Consider the following 19,225-nt stretch of genomic DNA (forward strand, 5'->3'; position numbering starts at 1 on the left):
ATCACTTGAACCTGGGGGCCGGAGGTGGCAGTGAGCCCAGATCGCTCCACTTCACTCCAGCCTGGGCGGAAGAGGGAAACTCCATCGCACAAAAAAAAAAAAAAAATTGAGTGAGGGTGTGGCATTTATCCAGCAGGCAGAGGCTCTGTACCATTCAAACGGTAGGACCGGGAATGGTGCATGTTGTGGGAAGAAATCAACAATCAAAAACGGGGGCTGAGTGTGATGGTTCACACCTGTGATCCCAGCACTTTGAGAGGCTGAGGTGGGAGGATCTCTTGAGCCCAAGAGTTTGAGACCAGCCTGGGCAACATAGCGAGACCCCTAATTTAAAAAAAATTTTTAATTAGCTGGGTATGGTGGCACAGGCCTGTAGTCCCAGCTACTCAGGAGGCTAAGGTAGGAGGATCACCTGAGCCTGGGAGGTCAAGGCTGCAGTGAACTGTGATCACCCCACTGTACTCAAACCTGGGTGACAGAGTGAGACCCTCTTCAAAAAATCTTTTTATTTAAAAAAAGATTTTAAAAAGCAGTTACAACCACGACTGCCTGGGGCTTGGTTTGAGGGAGGTGGTGGTATTACTTCCCATTGGAGAGAATCTGAGCTCAGGGCACATAGCCAATAAGATGTGTTGTCAGAGTTGGAGTCCAGGCTTTCTGTCCCCAAACTGGCACTTTTCCCTCTGCCACGCTGCCTGACCACTGGGTGAGACCTATCCCATAAAGCCTTACCTAAATACAACCCTAATGCTGGGTTTGAATCCATTTTTATTCAAAGGGAAAAGAATCCCGCCCACTAAGACGCGACCCCTCAGACAGGGGTCCAAGAAGCCCCTGCTGGAGGACGACCCTCAGGGTGCCAGGAAGATCTCGTCGGAGCCTGTTCCTGGCGAGAGTAAGAGCCACCGGGCTGGGTCAAGGCAGGACCAGCCTGCTCCGTGCTCAGAGACGACCCTTCTCCTTCCCCACCTGGGCACAGAAGAGTAGAGTCAGGTTTCTTTGGCATTTTCTGGGCACCAAGCAGTCCTGTACCACTGGACCCAGGGTGTTTCCCAGACACGCCCCCAACTGTGAATGGAGCTGAGTCCCCCTCTAGCCCGGCCCCGGCCCCTCCTCCTCCTCCATCTCTACCCCTACCTCTAGTGCTTGGCAGGGTGGTGACAGATTGGCACATGGCAGTGTCGTTGGCATAGCCTGCCTGGCTTGGGGCCTTGGCCCTTTGCTGCTGCCACTGCCCTCCCAGAAGGGAAGCTGGAGGGTGAAGGTGCATCCTAGGCCCCCATCTGTAGGGAGCCAGGTCCCTTTCCCAGCTCCTCCGCCCCCACCCCTCCCAGAGTTATTTACTCGCCCACCCACCCGCCTCCCCTCCCTCTTCAGTCATTGCTGTGCGTGTGAAGGAAGAGCATCTAGACGTGGCCTCGCCCGACAAGGCTTCAAGTCCAGAGCTGCCTGTCTCCGTCGAGAACATCAAGCAGGAAACAGACGACTGAGCCTTCCTGCCTCCAGCCTGGCTTCTAGCTGGAAGCCAGCCCAGCGTTTCTCTACCACCACCACCATGCCTCCACCTGACTTTGGCTTGGAGACTGATCCTCTCTGTGTAAATTCTGCCCGGTGCTGTGAAGGCTGGACGGTGGAGGACCTGCTGGGGTCTCCTGGGACCCGCCTGTTGCTTCTGCCCTCCCCTGTGGAAAGGTCTATATGACGGGCCGCCTGAGGCCCCAGAACTCGTCTGTGAACCACCTTTTCCAGCCAGAGTTCCCAAAGCTGGAACGCTAGCTGCCTGCTCTTCCTTAAGATGGCCTCCCCCCGACCCGCCACGGCCCTCAGTTGCCAGGGATGGGGCCACCACTGTCACACTGTGGAATACAAGACAGTGAACTCTGTCTGCCTGAACGAGCCATGTAAATTAAGTTCTAGAGCAGCTCTCTGAGCAGGATAAGGTCCCCTGACAGTGAGTTGTGTGGTGGGGGCAGCCTCTGCCTCAAAAATTCACCAAGCAGAATGCCTCTCAGCCTCATGTGTTGGTCCTCTGCTCCTCCTAGCTCCCCAGGGATGTTGGGGACCCAGCTTGTCTCGGCAGCTAAGAAGCAGTGACCAGGATGTGGATTTTGGCGACCTGTGTGGTGGCCTTGAGCTGCTTTCTGTGTTTGTGAGGACTGACTCCCATTTCCTAAAGGAAATGCCCCCGGGGAGGACATTGGGAGGAAGATGGCCTGAGTGTGCACTTTGGCTCTGCTACCTGCTCCTGAAGCCCCGCTAAAAATAATTCATCCAAGATTCCTTTGTAGTTAAAGGGTCCAGTTCTGACTGGAGCCTCTAGAGAGCTGGGCTTGTATGTTCTTTTGGCCTTTTGTTCCTACCTAAATGAAGAAACCATGCCTGGAGGGGCCGTGAACACAGAACCCTCAAGACAAGGATGACAGAGCTGGAGGACACATCTAGCTGCCATTGCAACCTCACTGGGCTCCCCAGACTCTGTGTGTGAGAAATTAAACCCCCTGCTTGCTTGAGTCCCGTTTGTTAGATCTCTATTCCTTGCAGATTGTGTTCTGACCCCACCCCCCCACCTCGTGGTATCGATCATGAAGGCCACGTGAGTCAAGACACGAGTGTGCAGGGCCGTAAAGAAATGTCGCCTGTCATCAGCTCAAGTTCCCTGTCTTAGCCACATGCTGTCATTCTTTACGGTTGTGCCATTCTCCCCAAAGACTGTGAGTTCCCCAGAGATGGAGCCTGTGTCCGCCTGTGCGTAGCACCTGGCATAGGCTGGCATAAAGTTGGCTTGTGTGTGTGAAATGGGAATGTGCGCATGACCACGTGTTGCTGGTGCCTAGAGGTCAGCTTGATTTGTTGGAGATAGAAGTATTGATCTCTTGGGAGTTTTTGCTCAATCCATGCAGTAACCTTGTGCCTCAGTTTGCCCTTGGAGGGAACTCAAGTTCTTGGAGTCTGAGCAGTGGGGCTGCTGGCAGGGAGGCATTTGCAAACCCCTCATCCCTGCTTCTGCCTCAGGACCCACAGGGGCTCCTGGTACAGGTGAGACCAAATCCAGACCCTTCAGGAACCTGCCCTGCCTCCCTTGTCCTTTATGGCCATCCAGTCTAGCCCCTCTGCTGCAGGGAAAGGGATGCAAGGGAACTCCATAGTATCAAGAGCCCCTACCCAGGTGCCAGGTTAAATAGGTATCTAAATGGCTCATTTCACCTTCACAGTAACCCTGTGCAGTACTGATGGGAAAAAAGAAGCCTCAGTACAGTTTAGTCGTTTGGCTGCTTAAATTTACACCTGTTGCCGGGCGCGGTGGCTCACGCCTGTAATCCCAGCACTTTGGGAGGCCACGGCGGGCGGATCACAAGGTCAGGAGATCGAGACCATCCTGGCTAACACGATGAAACCCTGTCTCTACTAAAAATACAAAAAATTAGCCGGGCGTGGTGGCAGTCACCTGTAATCCCAGCTACTCGGGAGGCTGAGGCAGGAGAATCACTTGAACCTGGGGGGCGGAGGTGGCAATGAGCCGAGATTGCACCACTGCACTCCAGCCTGAGCAACAGAGCGAGACTCTGTCTCAAAAAAAAAAAAAAAAATTTACACCTGTAAAGGATGGCAGTGGGGTTGAACCCAGGTTTGTCTGCCAGATGACCTAGTCGTGAGTCAGTCATTCAGCCTTCCCGAGCATCTTCTGGGTGCCAGACACCAAACTAGACACGGGCATCAAGGGAGACTGGCAGACGTCCATCCTGGTGCCTTCAGCAGGCGAGCATCTCCAGCCGGGAACAATGCCAGTGCCTGAGCCTCAAGATAAGAGCCCTCTGCCTTGAATTCCTTTGTATTCCTGGGAGGAAACTGCTACTTTCATCAAAATAACCCACAATACTGAAAGGAGTATCAGAAGGGATGGCTAGGTCAAATGGCCTGAGACGTCCTGATTCCAAAGCCATCATACTGTGTGTAGGGGTGGGGACCCGGGGTGTCTTTCCCTTTTAACTAAAGCCCTGACCTGGAAGTGGACTCATCAGAGCTTCCACTCCTGAACCCAGCTCCGCTTCTACATGAGCCTCCCGGGGCTGACGCAGGGAGAAAGCACTGCTGCCATTTCCCAGTCGCGCACGTGACTGCCAACTGAGATTAGTATTGCTCTCATCAACGATAGTTCCGGGTCTGGCTTCCAAGGCAGAACTTGCTTACCTTCAGCTTGGGGTCTTTTCAGGAGTTCCTTCCCGGCTCCCAGCCAGAAATTAGGAACACTTTATAGACTGACTTGTGCCCATCCCAAAAGGCTGGATCCCTAACCCCAGTACCTCAGAGTATGACCTTACTTGGAAATAGATTCCTTACAGAAGTAATGAAGTTAAAATGACATCCTTAGGTTGGGCCCTAATCTAATAGGCTGTTATATTTATAAAAAGGGGAAATTTGGCTGGGCGCAGTGGCTCACACCTGTAATCCCAGCACTTTGGGAGGCTGAGGCAGGTGGATCACCTGAGGTCAGGAGTTCGAGACCAGCCTGACCAACATGGTAAAACCCCTTCTCTACTAAAAATACAAAAGTTAGCCATGCGTGGTGGCACGCACCTGTAATCTCAGCTACTTGGGAGGCTGAGGCAGGAGAGTCGCTTGAACCCAGGAGGCAGAGGGTGCAGTGAGCCAAGACTGTGCCATTGCACTCCAGCCTGGGCAACAAGAGCAAAACTCCATCTCAGAAAAAAAAAGGGGGGGTGGAATTTGGGCAGAGACAGATTATAGAGGGAAGATGATGATACACAACATCACGTGAAGGTTGGGACAGAGATGGAGATTATGCTGCCACAGATCAGGGAGCACCTGGGGCCACCAGAAGCTGGAAGAGGCAAGGGGGACCCTTCCACTACCTGTTCCAGAGAGCACTACCGGTTCCAGAGAGCACGCCCCTGCCAACACCTCAACGGCTGACCCCTAGCCTACAGAAGCTCTGCTGTTCTAAGCCACCCAGCTCCTAGCATTTTGTTGTGGCAGTCCTAGGGGATGAATACAAACACCAACTAATGGCCCCAGGAATCCCAGATGTTCAAAATGCAGGTCCAGGGGAGATAGAGCCCTCTCCCCACCTTCCCAGGCCCCACTCTATTCTCACTTTCCCTGGAAGAACTTCCTCTCCCTTTTGGACACCTCCGTGGCCTTACAGGCAGTGGTTCCTACATACGGGGGTGCCTGTATCTTGTGCACCCTTCTCTGATATGCTGTGAGTTTGCTACAACTGAGGGGTCAAGCTGGGACTAGATATGTCAGGATGGTGAATGTACTATCAAGTGGGGTCCAACCTATGGCTAGTAGGTGGTGGGAGGCAGAGCCAATGATGCACCTGCACTTCCACTCTCCCCATCCCTGGGATCCTGGGATGAGGGAGACCCCTTAGGTCAGGCTGGGACATGGTTGAGTCAACAGTGATCCAGCAAATATAGAAACAGCAGGACCGATTTTAGGGATACATCTGGACCAGCACAGTGTGGCTTATAGGAAAGGCCACTGTCCCACAGCAGGAGCAAATGGTCACTCCTTGCAAACCCACCCTGGGTCTAGCCCAGAGGTGGGGGCAGGGAGGAGGGAAGAACGGGAGGATGGACATTATTATTATTATTATTATTATTATTATTATTATTGAGACGGAGTCTCACCCTGTCGCCAGGCTGGGGTGCAGTGGCGTGATCTCTGCTCACTGCAACCTCTGCCTCCCGGGTTCAAGCGATTCTCCCACCTCAGCCTCCCAAGTAGCTGGGATTACAGGCGCCCGCCACCACGCCCAGCTAATTTTTTTTTTTTTGAGACAGAGTGTTTTTGAGTCTTGCTCTGTCGCCCAGGCTGGAGTGCAGTGGTGAGATCTCCGCTCACTGCAAGGTCCACCTCCTGGGCTCACGCCATTCTCCTGCCTCAGCCTCCCAAGTAGCTGGGACTACAAGCGCCCACCACCACAGCCGGATAATTTTTTTGTATTTTTAGTAGAGACAGGGTTTCACCGTGTTAGCCAGATGGTCTCTATCTCCTGACCTCGTGATCTGCACGCCTCGGCCTCCCAAAGTGCTGGGATTACAGGCGTGAGCCAACGCACCCAGCCATAGTTTTTGTATTTTTTAGTAGAGATGGGGTTTCACCATGTTGGCCAAGATGGTCTTGACCTCTTGACCTCGTGATCCGCCCACCTCGGCCTCCTGAAGTGCTGGGATTACAGGCGTGAGCCACCGCGCCCAGCCTCGGATGGACATTATTGAACTGACGCAACTGGGTCATTGCCCAGCTCTGGAACCACATGAATCAGGACCAAGCCAAGTCAGGCTCCTGCTTCCTGGGGACTTTGGAACCTGGCCCACCACCCACCAAGGTCTCACCCCTCCTGCCCCATGGCCAACCTTATCTGCTCCACACTGTCTTCCTTTGATGGGGGTTCTCCTGGCACTGGGCCTGGAGGCTGGTGTCCGCTTGGCCTTTCTGGCAGCCCAGCCCGGGCAGTCTTCAAAGACAGCAGCTGCAGCCTTCACCCTCTGGCCACGGGCATTGGGAGGGGTGGCGCAGGTGGCCCCCACCCGCAGGTTCAGCCCAGTAAGCCACCTGAAGAGAAAAGAGAGCTGGGGAGCTAGCTGTGCTGATTCTGCTCCAGTGGCCTGGAGCAGGTGGGCACTGGGTGTGGGGCAGGGTTGGTGCAGAAGGCAGCACAAGGCCACAGGCAGCATGCATTCATTCGCTCAACAAGCATTTGCCAGCTTTCCTGAGGAGGTCAAGGAGGCCACCAGGAATTTGGGAGCGGTGGAGCCTATAGGTGACAGCAGGCTCTGCTGAGAATCTTGGCGGCTCACCAATTATGTGACCTACAAGCCACTTCAAGCCTCTGATCCCTTCTTTGTAAAAAGGGGATAATAATAGTAATAATAAACAGTTAGAGGGCTTACAACGTAGCAGACACTGTTCAAATCAACTTATCTATGCTAATTTCATTCTTACAACAACCATCATGAGGTTAGATACTACATCCCCCCTTTTTACAGATGGGCAGGAAAGGTTACGCGGCTTGCAGAGTTAGTTGGTAAAATACCAGAGCCAGGACTGGAGCCCAGGTCTGCAGGACTCCAGGCTTCTTGTGACTTTTTATTTTTTTTTGAGATGGAGTCTCACTCTGTCGCCCAGGCTGGAGTGAAGTGGCGCGATCTCAGCTCACAGCAACCTCTGCCTCCCAGGTTCAAGCAATTCTCCTGCCTCAGCCTCCCAAGTAGCTGGGATTACAGGCACCCACTACCACGCCCAGCTAATTTTTGTATTTTTAGTAGAGGCAGAGTTTCACCATGCTGGCCAGGCTACTCTCAAACTCCTGACCTCAGGTGATCAGCCTGCATTGGCCTCCCAAAGTGCTGGGATTATAGGCGCGAGCCACCATCCCCGACCTCTTGTGACTTTCTCATGTAATTATGTAAAGTGGTCTCGCCTACCTATTAGGTCCCAGCCCGCTAGGCAGAGCAGATACCATGCCCACTTTATGGATGATGAAATCAAGGCTCAGAGAAGTCCACCCTCAACATCCCCAGGAAGGGTAACTAACCCTGGAAAGGGCTTATACATGCCTGGCTCTCACAGGACCCGCCCCTCCCCACAAGCTGCTCGGATGGGCATGGACATGGTGTGCCTGGGGAGATGACAGGGGCTTGACTGAGAGTGGCTGGGTGGTCTTTGGCTGGAGGTCTAGGTGGGGGTGCCCACCTGTGCAGCGGAAGCAGCTGGCAGTCACAGTGGAAGGGATTGCTGCTGAGGTCGATGAGCTCCAGCTGGCTGAGACTGGGCAGGGCAGGCAGGGCCCGAAGCTGGTTCTTCTGCAGGTGCAGGCTCTGGAGCCCGGGCCCCAGGCCTGAAAAGGCCCCAGGACAAATCTGCAAGGAGTTGCCAGGCCCCAATGTGAGCTCCTGGCAGAGCTGTCCCACCCCCAAGTCTGGAAGGGAGCCCCATCTTCCCTCAGCAGAAGAGAAGCTGGAGAGCCCAAGCTGGTCCAGCCAGGAAGTGCAGCGCTGGGTCAAAACCCAGGCTGGTCTGATGTCAAAACACTTGCTCCGTCCAAGTCACCCAGATGCCCAGTTCATGGTCCACCCCACCACCCAATAATGGCAAAACCTCTTGGGGGCTCTCAATATGTACAAACAGTAGATGACTGCATGGTCCCAAATTCCTCCCTCCTCTATGCTCCAGCAATACCGTCCTGTGCAGGCACCGTGTGTGGCCTGGGTTCTGCCCGGACTGTCACTCACACCGGTAGGGGCAGTCCTGGTTTATCTCAGGGTCCCCGTGCCCAGGCTGAGACCTGGCACCAAGGGGCTGGCAAATGCTTGTTGAGTGAATGCACGCTGCCTGTGGCCTTGTGCCGCCTCCTGCACCAACCCCGCCAGATGCCCAGTGCCCACCTGCTCCAGGCCACTGCTGTTCAGGAAGAGGTGCTGCAGCGACCTGCCCACAGGCTGGAAGGCTCCGTCACGCAAGGCCCTGAGTGGGTTGCCCGAGAGCTGCAGCTCCAGGAGGGCAGGCAGCCCCTCCAAGGCCCCAGTGGGCACCTCTCGCAGCTGATTCCTGTCCAGGTGCAGCTTCTCCAGCTCCCGAGCTGGGCCCAGCGCCCCAAGGGACACTTCGGTGATGCGGTTTCCACTCAGGTAGACCCAGCGCAAGGCCCGTGTTCTCCCCAGGTCCCCAGGTGCCAGGCGGTCCACAGCGTTGTCCTGCAGGTGCAGGGAGAAGAGGCTGGGCAGGGCGCGCAGGGCAGCCCCTGGCACCTGCAGGAAACGGTTGCGTTCTAGGTACAGGTAGCCGAGGCGGGGAGCCCCTTCAAGGGCAGCAGCGCTGAGGCCTGCGAGCTGGTTGTCGGAGAGGTACAGGTAGATCAGGCGGCCCAGCCCGGCCAGGGCGCCCGCTTCCAGCTCCGCGATGCCGCAGTGCTGCAGGTGCAGCGACACCAGGTGGCCCAGGCCGGGGAAGGCCGCTCGGGGCACCGAGGGGAAGTGGTTCCGCCTCAGGTCCAGGAGCTGGGTGTCGCTGGGGAAGCCGCGGGGCACCGCCTGCAGGCCGCAGCCCTCGCAGCTGCTGTGCCGGGACTCGGGGACGCACACGCAGGCGCGAGGGCAAGGCGCGACTGCCCGCTCCTCCCCGGGGCCGCGCGGAGGGCCGCGCGGAGGGGCGCGGGGCCCGGCCACAGCCCGCTCTTCCAGCTCTTCCTCTTCCTGCGCCGCGTCCCCAGGGCAGCGCAGGTCCCAGGGCCGCAGGGCGTCCAGAGCCTCGCCCCGCAGGCGCCGCGGCCCCTGGCACGCGCCGTCCGAGCGCACGCGCGCCCGCGCCAGCCACTCGAGTAGGGGCCGCGCCTGGCAGCCGCACCACAGCGGATTCCCCTGCAGCCGCAGCCGGCGCAGCTGGCCCGGGCCCTGCAGCGGGGGCAGGGTGTCTAGCTGGTTCCCGCGGAGGTCGAGGGTGTGCAGGCGCGGACAGTGTGCGAAGGCCCTGGGACCCAGGGCCTGCAGGGCCCCGCCGTCCAGCAGCAGCTCCCGCAGGCCGGGCAGCGCCAGCCCGTCCTCCTCGCCCGCGTAGGTGAGCGGGTTGTGGCCCAGCTCCAGACGGGCCAGGCCGCGGGCCTGGGACAAGACAGGCCCGGGCAGAGCCTGGAGCTCGTTGTGGTGTAGGCTGAGCCGTCTCAGGGCGGGCAGGCCAGCCAGGGCCTCGGGGGCCAGCACGCTGAGCGCGTTGTGCGACAGCCGCAGCCAGCGGACGCGCAGTAGCCCCTGGAAGGCCATGGCGGGCAGGTAAACCAGGGCGTTGTGGGCCAGGTTTAGCGTGGCCAGCGCACCCAGTGCCCCGAACGTCCCCGGCCGCAGCTCCTCCAGTGCGTTCCCCTCCAGCTCCAGCCGCCGCAACGAGCCCAGCCCGTCCAGCGCCTCCTGGGGCAGCTCACGCAGGTGGTTGGAGGCCAGGTTGAGCAGGAGCAGGCGGCCCAGGCCACGGAAGGCGCCCTCGGCCACCAGCTCCACCTCGCAGTGGCGCAGGTCCAGGTGTGTGAGGTGAGGCACGCCCTGGAAGGCGGCTGCGGGGATCACCTTCAGCAAATTGCCCTGCAGGTCCAGCCGCTGGGTCAGCTGGGGACAGCGAGGAGAAAGTGGGGCTGAGCCAGGCAGGGACCCCGCCTTTGCAAGTGCTGCTTCTTCCCCGGAACACTCTTTTCTCCTGTCACCTTTCCCATATTTCTCTTCATCCGACCCCTGACACCTCCTCCAGGAAGCCTTCCTCTCCAGTGCCCTGGGCATCACCCACTGTGGCATTTTTCACACTGTGCTGTCCCTGCCTCCTCGCTCTCTCTCCTCCACTAGCTGATGACTCTGCAGAGCAGAGACCACACCTCACCCTGCCACAGCCCGCCTCTCCACCACAGGGTCTGCAGTGAATTCAGTATCGATCTATGGGTCACCTACTTATTCCATTCACACAGTAAGGATTTTAAATAGATCATCTCCCTGTTACTGGTTTTTATTATTCCCATTTTACAGAAGTGTAAACTGAGGCTCAAAGAGAAGTAATTTGCCAAGGTCTCCCGGGCAGGCGGTGGCAGATCAACTGGTGCCCAGCCCAGGCTCCTCCCTCTGGGTCCCCACCTTGCCCCACTGCCACTCTGTGCCTGTGCTCCTGCCCTGCTGACCTCAGGGATGGCGTCTGGCACCTCAGTGAGGTTCTGGTACCGGCAGGCAACGTGTCGCCTGGAGTTGTCACAGATGCAGGCCTGTGGGCAGCGCTGGGCGGCGGCCTGCCTAGCCGGGGCCAGCAGCAGAAGTACAAGAAGCGGCAGCACCAAGGGGACATGGGTGGAGCTCCGGGGCCTGGGACGGGGAGGGAGAGTCTGTTGTGCACAAGGGCCGAGGCCACATGCTGTCCCTCACTTAGTCCCAGCCATGGTGCAGCTCCTGCCCCAAAAACCCCTCAGAGCCTCCTCCTTTGGGCCCAGGAAAGTGCCAATCACCCTGAGCCTCCCTGCCCCCCACCCCCCACGCAGTGGAGGTCCTATGATTAGTCCTGTTTTACATGGGAGGAAACCGAGGCTCAGAAAAGTGACCTGGTTAGTCCCTTTGCCTCTGCCCAATGGCTCAGTGAGGACTTGCTGACTGTGAGAATGACTCCAGTTCAGAGCATGTTCTCAGGCTGTGGTGAGGCTCTGGTCCAGGGTAGGCTCGGAAGCAGCCTGTCCTCAGACTGATATGATGCCAGCTCCCAGGTGGCAGGAGCATAATGGTACCCCCCAGAAAGGAGGGAGGCATCCAGTCCGGGTCCTTGAGTCTTTTTTTGTTTGTTTGTTTAAATAGAGACAAGCCTTGCTCTGTTGCCCAGGCTGGAGTCTGGAGTGCAGTGGAATGACTATGGCTTACTGCAGCCTTCACCTCCTGGGCTAAAGTGATCCTCTCACCTCAGCCTCTTGAGTAGCTGGGACTACAGGCACACACCACCACGCCTGGCTAATTTTTTAATTACTTCTGGTAGAGACAGGGTCTCGCTATGTTGCCCGGGCTGGTCTTGAACTCCTGGCCTCAAGTGATTGTCCCACCTTGGCCTCCCAAAGCGCTAGGATGATAGATCACCTCCCCTGCCCAGCTGGCCCCTCTGTTCTCAGCCTGTGTCAGGCATGGCCTCTCCCCCATCGCTGGGCTGTTCCCCGGCCCCCAGGAGCCTCCCCCTCGCTGCTCACTGGACTATCGTCTGTTTTGGAGTCTCCTTTGGGTCCCAGGCTCCAGCCCCTGCGTTGGAGTTGGTGGCTTCTCCAGAGCCTGTGGTGAAGGCTGTGCCTCAGGGCAGGCCAGGGAGGGGACCCATGGGGACAGATCGCTGAAGCGACAAGCATTCATAATGCAGGGACCACTGCTGGGCTCTCAGACAAGCCCCAGAGGACCAGTTCCTGGCAGTGGCCACATTGCCACGTGTCTCAGAGCCCACCTTGGGAGACCCCCTTCCTGGAGAACCCCAGGAAGTCCCCAGAGCCCCTGCCCGCCAGCCTCTGAGAGGCCCAGAGGGGGCAGAGACTTACCTGAGGCCACTGAGCTGCTCTGAATCCCCCCTTGCACCATCGGGCCCAAAGACTCACCCCTCCATGCCGCCTGGAACTGCTGGTCCAGCCTGGAGGCGCAGCGCAGGGACAGGCTGTCCCCGCCTGGCAGGAGCCCCCCTCCACGGCCCGCAGGCCTGGCAGCTGGGACAGGGCTGAATGGGAGGCATTGTCGGCAGACCAGGCAAGCCAGGCTTCCCCAGGCTGAGGTGAAGAAGGGGCGGGCGGCGGGCGGGAGCAGCGGCTGGAGTTACAGGGCCTCCTGCCTGCCCCAGCCGAGGACTGAGGCCCCGGCCTGAATCCTTGGGCCAGCCCGACAGGGAGGGGGCACCAGCAGCTGGCCCGGGAGTCAGCAGTCCTGGGCTCCCTCCTGCCATGTGGGCTGCCCTCCCAGAGGCTGCTTCCTAGTCTCTGAAAAACACATCCCATTAATAAGTAGCTCTGAGGTCACAGTGGGGGTTCAGGCCCGCACCTGGCACACAGTGGGTGCTTCAGAACAGGTGACCCTTTCCTTCCGTTTGTGCTTACACATTGACATAAATAGTTTAATACTGGACACACAGGATTCTAGACACTCATTTTTTTCACTTAACCTCAGATTACTGGGAGTTATCCAAATTGACTCTTCCGAATCTCATTATTCTGTGGTATATAGTATTCCATTGTGTAAATGTATCACATTGACTTAGCCATTCATCTTGGACATTGGCTACCTCCAATTTTTTGCTATTTACAAACAATATTGCAAAGAATATCCAAATACGCATCTTCCCAAGCTCGTGTTTGTTTTTTAAATAATACATCCAGACCATGGCCAATGTTCATGTATCTTGATTTTTCAGATTCCTGCTTCTGATGGAATTGCATCTTCTACTGTTTGTTCCTTTAATTGGAAACAGGGGTCAGGCACAGTGGCTCATGCCTGTAATCCCAGCACTTTGGGAGGCTGAGGTGGGAGGATCACTTGAGCCCAGGAGTTTGAGACCAGCCTGGGCAACACAGACTCTGTCTCAAGAGAAAAAAAAAAGGCCGGGCGCGGTGGCTCACGCCTGTAATCCCAGCACTTTGGGAGGCGGAGGCGGGTGGATCACGAGGTCGAGATCAAGACCATCCTGGCTAACACAGTGAAACCCTATCTCTACTAAAAGTACAAAAAATTAGCCGGGTGTGGTGGCAGGCGCCTGTAGTCCCAGCTACTTGGGAGGCTGAGGCAGGCAAATGGCATGAACGCGAGAGCCGAGATGGCGCCACTGCACTCTAGCCTGGGCAACAGAGTGAAACTGTCTCAAAAAAGAAAAAAAATATATACATATATATATATATATATATATATATATATATATATATATATATATATATGTATGTGTGTGTGTATACACTTATGTGTGTATATATTTATATATAATAAAAATATAAATGTATATGTTTATATATATTTATATATGTTAAACAATGAACATCTGTGTGTACTTTTCCTAGACTGCAGGAGTTTTTTGTTTTTTGAGACAGAGTCTCACTTTATCGCCCAGGCTGGAGCTCACTGCAACCTCCACCTCCCTGGTTCATGCGATTCTCCTGCCTCAGCTTCCCAAGTAGCTGGGATGACAGATGTGTACCACCACATCTGGTTAATTTTTGCATTTTTAGTAGAGACGGGGTTTCGCCATGTTGGCCAGGCCGGTCCCGAACTCCTGACCTCAAGTGATCTGCCCGCCTTGATCTCCCAAAGTGCTGGGATTACAGGCATGAGTCACCACGCCCAGCCCTGCAGTAACATTTTAAAAAAAGAAATAGTGCCATGCCACACAGCCATCTGCTTTGTGCTTTTTTTGCTTGGCAAATTCCAATCAATGGAACTTCAGTGTGCTCTTTCGTCCTTTTTTTGAGACAGGGTCTCACTGTTGCCCAGGTGTGAGTGAAGTGTGATCATGGCTCACTGCGGCCTTGACATACCAGCCTCCCAAGCAGCTGGGACCTCCAGATATGCACCGCCACCTCCAGCTGGTTTTAAAATTTGTTGTAGAGTTGGGGTCTTGCTATGTTGTCCAGGCTGGTCTTGAACTCCGGGGCACAAGTGATCCTCCCACCTCGGCCTCCCAAAGCGTTAGGATTACAGGCATGAGCCACTGCACCTGGCTGTGTCTGGCGTTTTCCACTCAATATTATGTTAGTGAGAATCATCTTTTTATTTTTTTTTTGAGACGGAGTCTAGCTCTCGTTGCCCAGGCTAGAGTACAGTGGCGTGATCTCAGCTCACTGCAACCTCCGCCTCCCAGGTTCAAGGAATTCTGCTTCAGCTTCCCGAGTAGCTGGGATTACAGGCACCCGCCACCACACCCAGCTAATTTTTGTATTTTTAGTAGAGACGGGTCTCACCATATTGGCCAGGCAGGTCACAAACTCCTGACCTCAAGTGATCCGCCCGCCTCAACCTCCCAAAGTCCTAGGATTTACAGGTGTGAGCCCGCACCCGGCTTCATCTATTTTAATTTTTTTTTTAAATTCAGCATTCCAGCCTTCCATTCTATAAATATATGACAACAGTGGCATGGGGCAGGGGCGGGAGGCAGTCTGCCCACAATGCAGGCAGTAAGCGGGTGTGCTGTCAGTGGAGAAGTGAGACACAATGGAACTGACTTAAAGTTGGTCTCTGCTTTTTATTATCATGTGCTGACAAGTCTAAACAATGTCAATGCTAAAATATTTCTTCTTGGGCAGACCATTCCTACCTTCTCGGTACCACACCGTACCACAAGTAGCTTACCCATTCCTCTAGTGATAGACATTTGGGTTGTTTCCAGCATGGGTTTATTAGAAAGAGCACTGTAGCCGGGCATGGTGGTTCATGCCTGTTAAGTGAGCTGAGGCGGGAGGATCACTTGAGCCCAATAATTCAAGACCAGCCTGGACAACACAATGAGACCCTGTCTTTACAAAAAAAAGCTGAACGTGGTGGCTTGTGACATGGTCCCAGCTACTTGGGAGGCTGAGGCACGAAGACTAAGTGAGCCCAGGAGGTCGAGGCTGCAGTGAGCTGTGATCACACCACTGCACCCCAGCCTGGGTGACATGGCAAGACCCTGTCTCAAAAAAAAAAAAAAAAAAAAAAAAGGTTGTACCAATTTACACATCTGCCAGCCACTCCAGTTGCCCCAAATCCTCACCAAACTTGGTACTGTATTTTGTATTTTAGCCATTCTAGTGAGGGCATAAGAGTGTCACACTGTGATTATGTTTCTCTGGGAGGATCACCTGAGCCCGGGGGGTAGAGGCTGCAGTGAGCCGAGATAGAAGCTGGGCAACATGAGACCCTGTTTGAAAAAAATTAAAGTTATCCCCCCCACCCATATATATATACAGAGAGAGTTTAGGCAATTATTTTCTCCCTGTCTGTAAGTTGCCTTTGTACTCCTTAATGAGTATTTTGATAAACAGAAACCTGTTCTCACTGCTACATCATTTCCATTGTGTGAACATCCCACGATAATGGCAAAGGAGGTTAAATACAGCTTAATTTATTCATCTTTTCCTCACTCCTAAGGCCTTGAAGATACTCACTTACACTATCTCCTACAAGCTCTCTCTCTCTTTTTTGAGACAGGGTCTCGCTGTCAGTCATGCTGGAGTGCAGTGGCACGATCACGGCTTGCTGCAGCATCCACTTCTTGGGCTCAGGTGATCCTCCCACCTCAGGTTCCCAAGTAGCTGAGACTACAGGCATGCATCACCACACCCAGCTCATTTTTGTATTTTTAGTAGAGACAGGGTTTTGCCATGTTGGCCAGGCCAGTCTTGAATTCCTGGGCTCAAGTGATCTGCCCGCCTCGTCCTCCCAAAGTGCTAGGATTACTACAGGCGTGAGCCACCACACCCGGGTGAAGCTCTATAGTTTTGCTTAATTTTTAAAACATTAACTGAGGTAAAATATATTAATACATGAAATCTATCATTTTAACCATTTTTATGTGTACAATTCAGTGCATTAAGTACATTCACAATGTTATGCAACCATCACCACTCTCCATTTCCAGAACATCTTCATCATCCCAGAGAATCTGTTTGCAGCCTCACTCCCTATTCCACCCTTCCCCTAGCCCTGGCAACCTCTACCTTCTTGTCTCTGAATTTGCTTATTCTAGATGCCTCATCTAAATGGAATCATATTTGTCCTTTTGTGTCTGGCTTATTTCATTTAACATGTTTTCAAAGTTCATCCACGTTGTAGCTGGCATCAGAACTTAATGCCAGCCCCACACCCACCCCCTACCGTATCAACTCACACAGAAGACAGGGGACAGGGCCAGCAGTATCCTCTGCCACCTGGTCACCTACGTGGCCGACTGCCAATGAGAAAATATTGCCCTCTAAGAAACCTTGGAGGGACTTCTTGGAGGCCGTTTGTGGGGGACATGGGCTCCCAAAGCACATACATGGTGTAGGGTAGGAGGTAAGGAAGGTTGGCTGGGCTGTCCTCACATATGTGGCAGTGGAGCAAAGGATCCCAAGGGAGGTGGCTTCCATAGTGAAGGAGCAACGCAGAAGCCAAGCGAGCTGCAGCCCAAAGGCAGGGTGCTGGGTGAGGTGTGGCCAGGCAGGAAAATGGGCCCCCACTCAGGACTGCCACTTCCCAGGTAGTGGCCTGAGGCCGAGGCCGGGCCCTTCTGCAGGGCTGACTGCCCCACAGACTGCTGCGGGGCCGCATGCTCTGCCGAGGTGGGACTCCACGTACAACGGCCCCCGAGACTATCCCGCTTTCAGTGAGAGTTTCTGAGTCTCTGAAGCTGCCACACGACTTTATTTGTGAAGCCCCCGGGCACAGCCCAGACACACACAGAGCACAAAGGGGAAAGCATGGGGCAGTCACGGGTGCTCAGGGAGGTCATACAGCATCTGCCCAGTCCAGACCCTACCGCTCCCCTGCCCCAGGAGGTCCTTTAAGAGCAGCGTCCAGATGCAGCTCGGACATTGGGGACCCTGCCTCTCCCTCCCCAGACTGGAGAACAGCTTTGGGTTGTCAACACTCCCCCTCCAGCCAGGCCAGTCACAGACGACATCTCAGCAGCCAGGAGAAGGCCCACTAGGTCCGGGGCCAGCGCAGTCCCAGCAGCTCCTGCTCCTGGACAATCTGGTGTCTGCCTGTCCACACGGTGTGGGGCCCAGGGTTGCCCTCTGCCAACAACCCCACGATCCGACCCCCACAGTCCCACCCATGGCATTCTCTGCTCTTCAGGCTGAGCGGTCAGCACAGTGGTATGGATGGTAGGGGTGACAGCTGCCGCAGGACCAGGGCTTGGTGACGAGAAGCAGCCCCAGGCAGGGCAGGAAACAACCCAATCACAACACAGAGGGGAAGGACAGCACGCGGGCAACTCCCTGGGTTCTGGCTCCGCCAGGGAGCCGGGCCGGAAGGCAGGTGGGTGGGGACGGCCATCAGGGCCCAGGCGGAGATCAGCAGAGCGCCCTCAGGTGGAGGTGAGTTTAATGGCGGAGCAGCTCACAGCCCTTTCCCCTGGGGGCCAACTCCCCACAACAGAGCAGGGCTGGGCCAGCAGAAGACGTTAAAACCCAAATCCCGACAGGAGGCACAGACCTGCACATGCGCCACACCCACACACATACTCAGGGGACTGACAGGACACATGGGACACAGACCCGCCCTGCCTGTGGCCAGAGTCCTGTCCAAGGCAATGGCGTAGGCTGCGCCTCAGTTCATCCGAGTCCCTCCCCAGCTCACTGGTCCAGGCCAAGGGATGGGAGAGGCTTTGAGTCTAGACCTTGTACAGCGTCTGCAGCAGACTGTGGCGGGCGAAGGAGCAGGATTCCAGGGCGCTGTTGGGCCTGCGGGGAAAGAGGGGTCAGCAGGTCGGTGGATGCCTCTTGGCCTGTTTTCCAAGTGTGGGGGCCATTTTGGTGCCAGACTCATTTTTGTTAATTTGCACAACGACTCAGCAAGAGAGACATTAGCCCTCTGCCTTCTGCACACCGTGGGTGGGGATGGGAGGTGCGAGAGGCTCAGAGAGCCAGGCACCCAACGCCACACAGCCCAGAGCTGGCCAGAATGAAGGCCCCCTCAGCCAGGCTCTCCAAGGGCCCTTCCAGCAGACATAGGCCAGGGAATCCTTACTGGCTGCCAGTGGCCACATAGGACTGGCCCACTAGAGTCCAATCTGGATCATAAGTAAATGGCTAGCCATTGTTTTTTTGGTTGCTTTTTTTCTTTTTCTTTTTCTTTTTTTTTTGAGACGGAGTCTCGCTCTGTCACCCAGGCTGGAGTGCAGTGGTGCGATCTCGGCTCACTGCAAGCTCCGCCTCCCGAGTTCACGCCATTCTCCTGCCTCAGCCTCCCGAGTAGCTGGGACTACAGACGCCCACCACCATGCCCAGCTAATTTTTTGTATTTTTAGTAGAGACAGGGTTTCACCATGTTAGCCAGGATGGTCTTGATCTCCTGACCTCGTGATCCTCCCACCTCGGCCTCCCAAAGTGCTGGGATTATAGGCGTGAGCCACCGCGCCAGGCTGGTTGTTTTTTTCTTGAGACAGGGCCTCTCTTTGTTGCCCAGGCTGGAGTACAGTCCTGGAATCATGGCTCCCTGCATCCTCGACTTCCCAGGCTCAGGTGGTCCTCCTACCTCATCCTCCCAAGTAGCTGGGACCACAGGTACACACCACCACACCCGGCTAACTTTGTATTTTTTGTAGAGATGGGGTTTCACGAATGTTGCCCAGGCTGGCCTTGAACTCCCGGGCTCAAGTGATCCAGTTGCCTCAGCTTCCCAAAGTGCTGGGATTACAGATGGGAGCCACTGCGCCTGAGCTGGCTGTTGTTGCCCTCAATATCATTAGTTTCACTGCAAAGGAAGAAACTGAGGCAAGACTCTGGGGGACTGGGCAAGTGCGGGACGCAGCCAGGACCAGGCCTGACAACACCTCTGGCCTGAAGCCAGTGAACAGGCCAGGATCTGCGCCAGGCCGGGCATCCCAGACCATTTGGCTGGGAGCTGAGGGAAGAGGGTCCGTGCATGTCACTACATAGTTAATCAGTCACCTTGGACAAGACCCAGGGGGCAGACTGAGGCCTGTGCTGGAGGTTGGGCAACAAGCTGGGAAAAGGCATTTTGCTCTGACCAACAAGGGCAAGAGGCACATGCCC

At 55.5% G+C, this 19,225-nt stretch overlaps 3 protein-coding genes across 16 annotated transcripts in view, besides 9 other annotated features; 1 reads left to right on the forward strand and 2 right to left on the reverse strand.

Annotated features, from left to right (window-relative positions):
• L3MBTL2 (L3MBTL histone methyl-lysine binding protein 2) overlaps positions 1–2,510 on the forward strand; it is a 25,960-nt gene extending 23,450 nt beyond the window's left edge. For all 4 annotated transcript variants that reach the window (NM_031488.5, XM_017028976.2, XM_047441537.1 and 1 more), the window contains 2 exons: positions 779–895; positions 1,378–2,510. In NM_031488.5, the coding sequence (NP_113676.2) occupies positions 779–895; positions 1,378–1,490 (230 nt within the window). In that variant the 3' untranslated portion in view covers positions 1,491–2,510. The remainder of the gene's footprint in view (positions 1–778; positions 896–1,377) is intronic.
• Positions 752–12,170, reverse strand: CHADL (chondroadherin like). Its single transcript, NM_138481.2, has 6 exons — positions 12,113–12,170; positions 10,682–10,859; positions 8,415–10,124; positions 7,723–7,889; positions 6,384–6,582; positions 752–969 (listed from the first exon to the last, which is right to left on the reverse strand). Exons 1-6 carry the CDS (start codon positions 12,118–12,120, stop codon positions 943–945), a joined length of 2,289 nt encoding a protein of 762 aa, NP_612490.1. The 5' UTR covers positions 12,121–12,170; the 3' UTR covers positions 752–942.
• Positions 7,969–8,557: an enhancer, noted in NCBI's record as "H3K27ac-H3K4me1 hESC enhancer chr22:41632734-41633322 (GRCh37/hg19 assembly coordinates)". NCBI's record gives its function as "activates a minimal SCP1, AML or CMV promoter by ChIP-STARR-seq in naive H9 embryonic stem cells {active_cell/tissue: H9 hESC(naive)}" and the evidence as "EXISTENCE:reporter gene assay evidence [ECO:0000049][PMID:30033119]".
• Positions 8,558–9,146: an enhancer, noted in NCBI's record as "H3K27ac-H3K4me1 hESC enhancer chr22:41633323-41633911 (GRCh37/hg19 assembly coordinates)". NCBI's record gives its function as "activates a minimal SCP1, AML or CMV promoter by ChIP-STARR-seq in naive H9 embryonic stem cells {active_cell/tissue: H9 hESC(naive)}" and the evidence as "EXISTENCE:reporter gene assay evidence [ECO:0000049][PMID:30033119]".
• Positions 8,921–9,020: a silencer, noted in NCBI's record as "silent region_13781". NCBI's record gives its function as "represses an Ori minimal core promoter by ATAC-STARR-seq in GM12878 lymphoblastoid cells {active_cell/tissue: GM12878}" and the evidence as "EXISTENCE:reporter gene assay evidence [ECO:0000049][PMID:35858748]".
• Positions 9,081–9,460: a silencer, noted in NCBI's record as "silent region_13782". NCBI's record gives its function as "represses an Ori minimal core promoter by ATAC-STARR-seq in GM12878 lymphoblastoid cells {active_cell/tissue: GM12878}" and the evidence as "EXISTENCE:reporter gene assay evidence [ECO:0000049][PMID:35858748]".
• Positions 9,081–9,735: a biological region, named in NCBI's record as "H3K27ac-H3K4me1 hESC enhancer GRCh37_chr22:41633912-41634500".
• Positions 9,147–9,735: an enhancer, noted in NCBI's record as "H3K27ac-H3K4me1 hESC enhancer chr22:41633912-41634500 (GRCh37/hg19 assembly coordinates)". NCBI's record gives its function as "activates a minimal SCP1, AML or CMV promoter by ChIP-STARR-seq in naive H9 embryonic stem cells {active_cell/tissue: H9 hESC(naive)}" and the evidence as "EXISTENCE:reporter gene assay evidence [ECO:0000049][PMID:30033119]".
• Positions 9,736–10,323: an enhancer, noted in NCBI's record as "H3K27ac-H3K4me1 hESC enhancer chr22:41634501-41635088 (GRCh37/hg19 assembly coordinates)". NCBI's record gives its function as "activates a minimal SCP1, AML or CMV promoter by ChIP-STARR-seq in naive H9 embryonic stem cells {active_cell/tissue: H9 hESC(naive)}" and the evidence as "EXISTENCE:reporter gene assay evidence [ECO:0000049][PMID:30033119]".
• Positions 11,773–12,273: an enhancer, noted in NCBI's record as "H3K4me1 hESC enhancer chr22:41636538-41637038 (GRCh37/hg19 assembly coordinates)". NCBI's record gives its function as "activates a minimal SCP1, AML or CMV promoter by ChIP-STARR-seq in naive H9 embryonic stem cells {active_cell/tissue: H9 hESC(naive)}" and the evidence as "EXISTENCE:reporter gene assay evidence [ECO:0000049][PMID:30033119]".
• Positions 12,274–12,774: an enhancer, noted in NCBI's record as "H3K4me1 hESC enhancer chr22:41637039-41637539 (GRCh37/hg19 assembly coordinates)". NCBI's record gives its function as "activates a minimal SCP1, AML or CMV promoter by ChIP-STARR-seq in naive H9 embryonic stem cells {active_cell/tissue: H9 hESC(naive)}" and the evidence as "EXISTENCE:reporter gene assay evidence [ECO:0000049][PMID:30033119]".
• Positions 16,018–19,225, reverse strand: part of RANGAP1 (Ran GTPase activating protein 1) — a 57,591-nt gene continuing 54,383 nt past the window's right edge. For all 11 annotated transcript variants that reach the window (NM_001317930.2, XM_006724289.5, NM_002883.4 and 8 more), the window contains one exon: positions 16,018–17,911. In NM_001317930.2, coding sequence (NP_001304859.1) covers positions 17,842–17,911 — 70 coding nt within the window. In that variant the 3' untranslated portion in view covers positions 16,018–17,841. The remainder of the gene's footprint in view (positions 17,912–19,225) is intronic.

Source organism: Homo sapiens, chromosome 22 (genome assembly GCF_000001405.40).
Source record: "Homo sapiens chromosome 22, GRCh38.p14 Primary Assembly".
NCBI classification, from domain to species: Eukaryota; Metazoa; Chordata; class Mammalia; order Primates; family Hominidae; genus Homo; species Homo sapiens.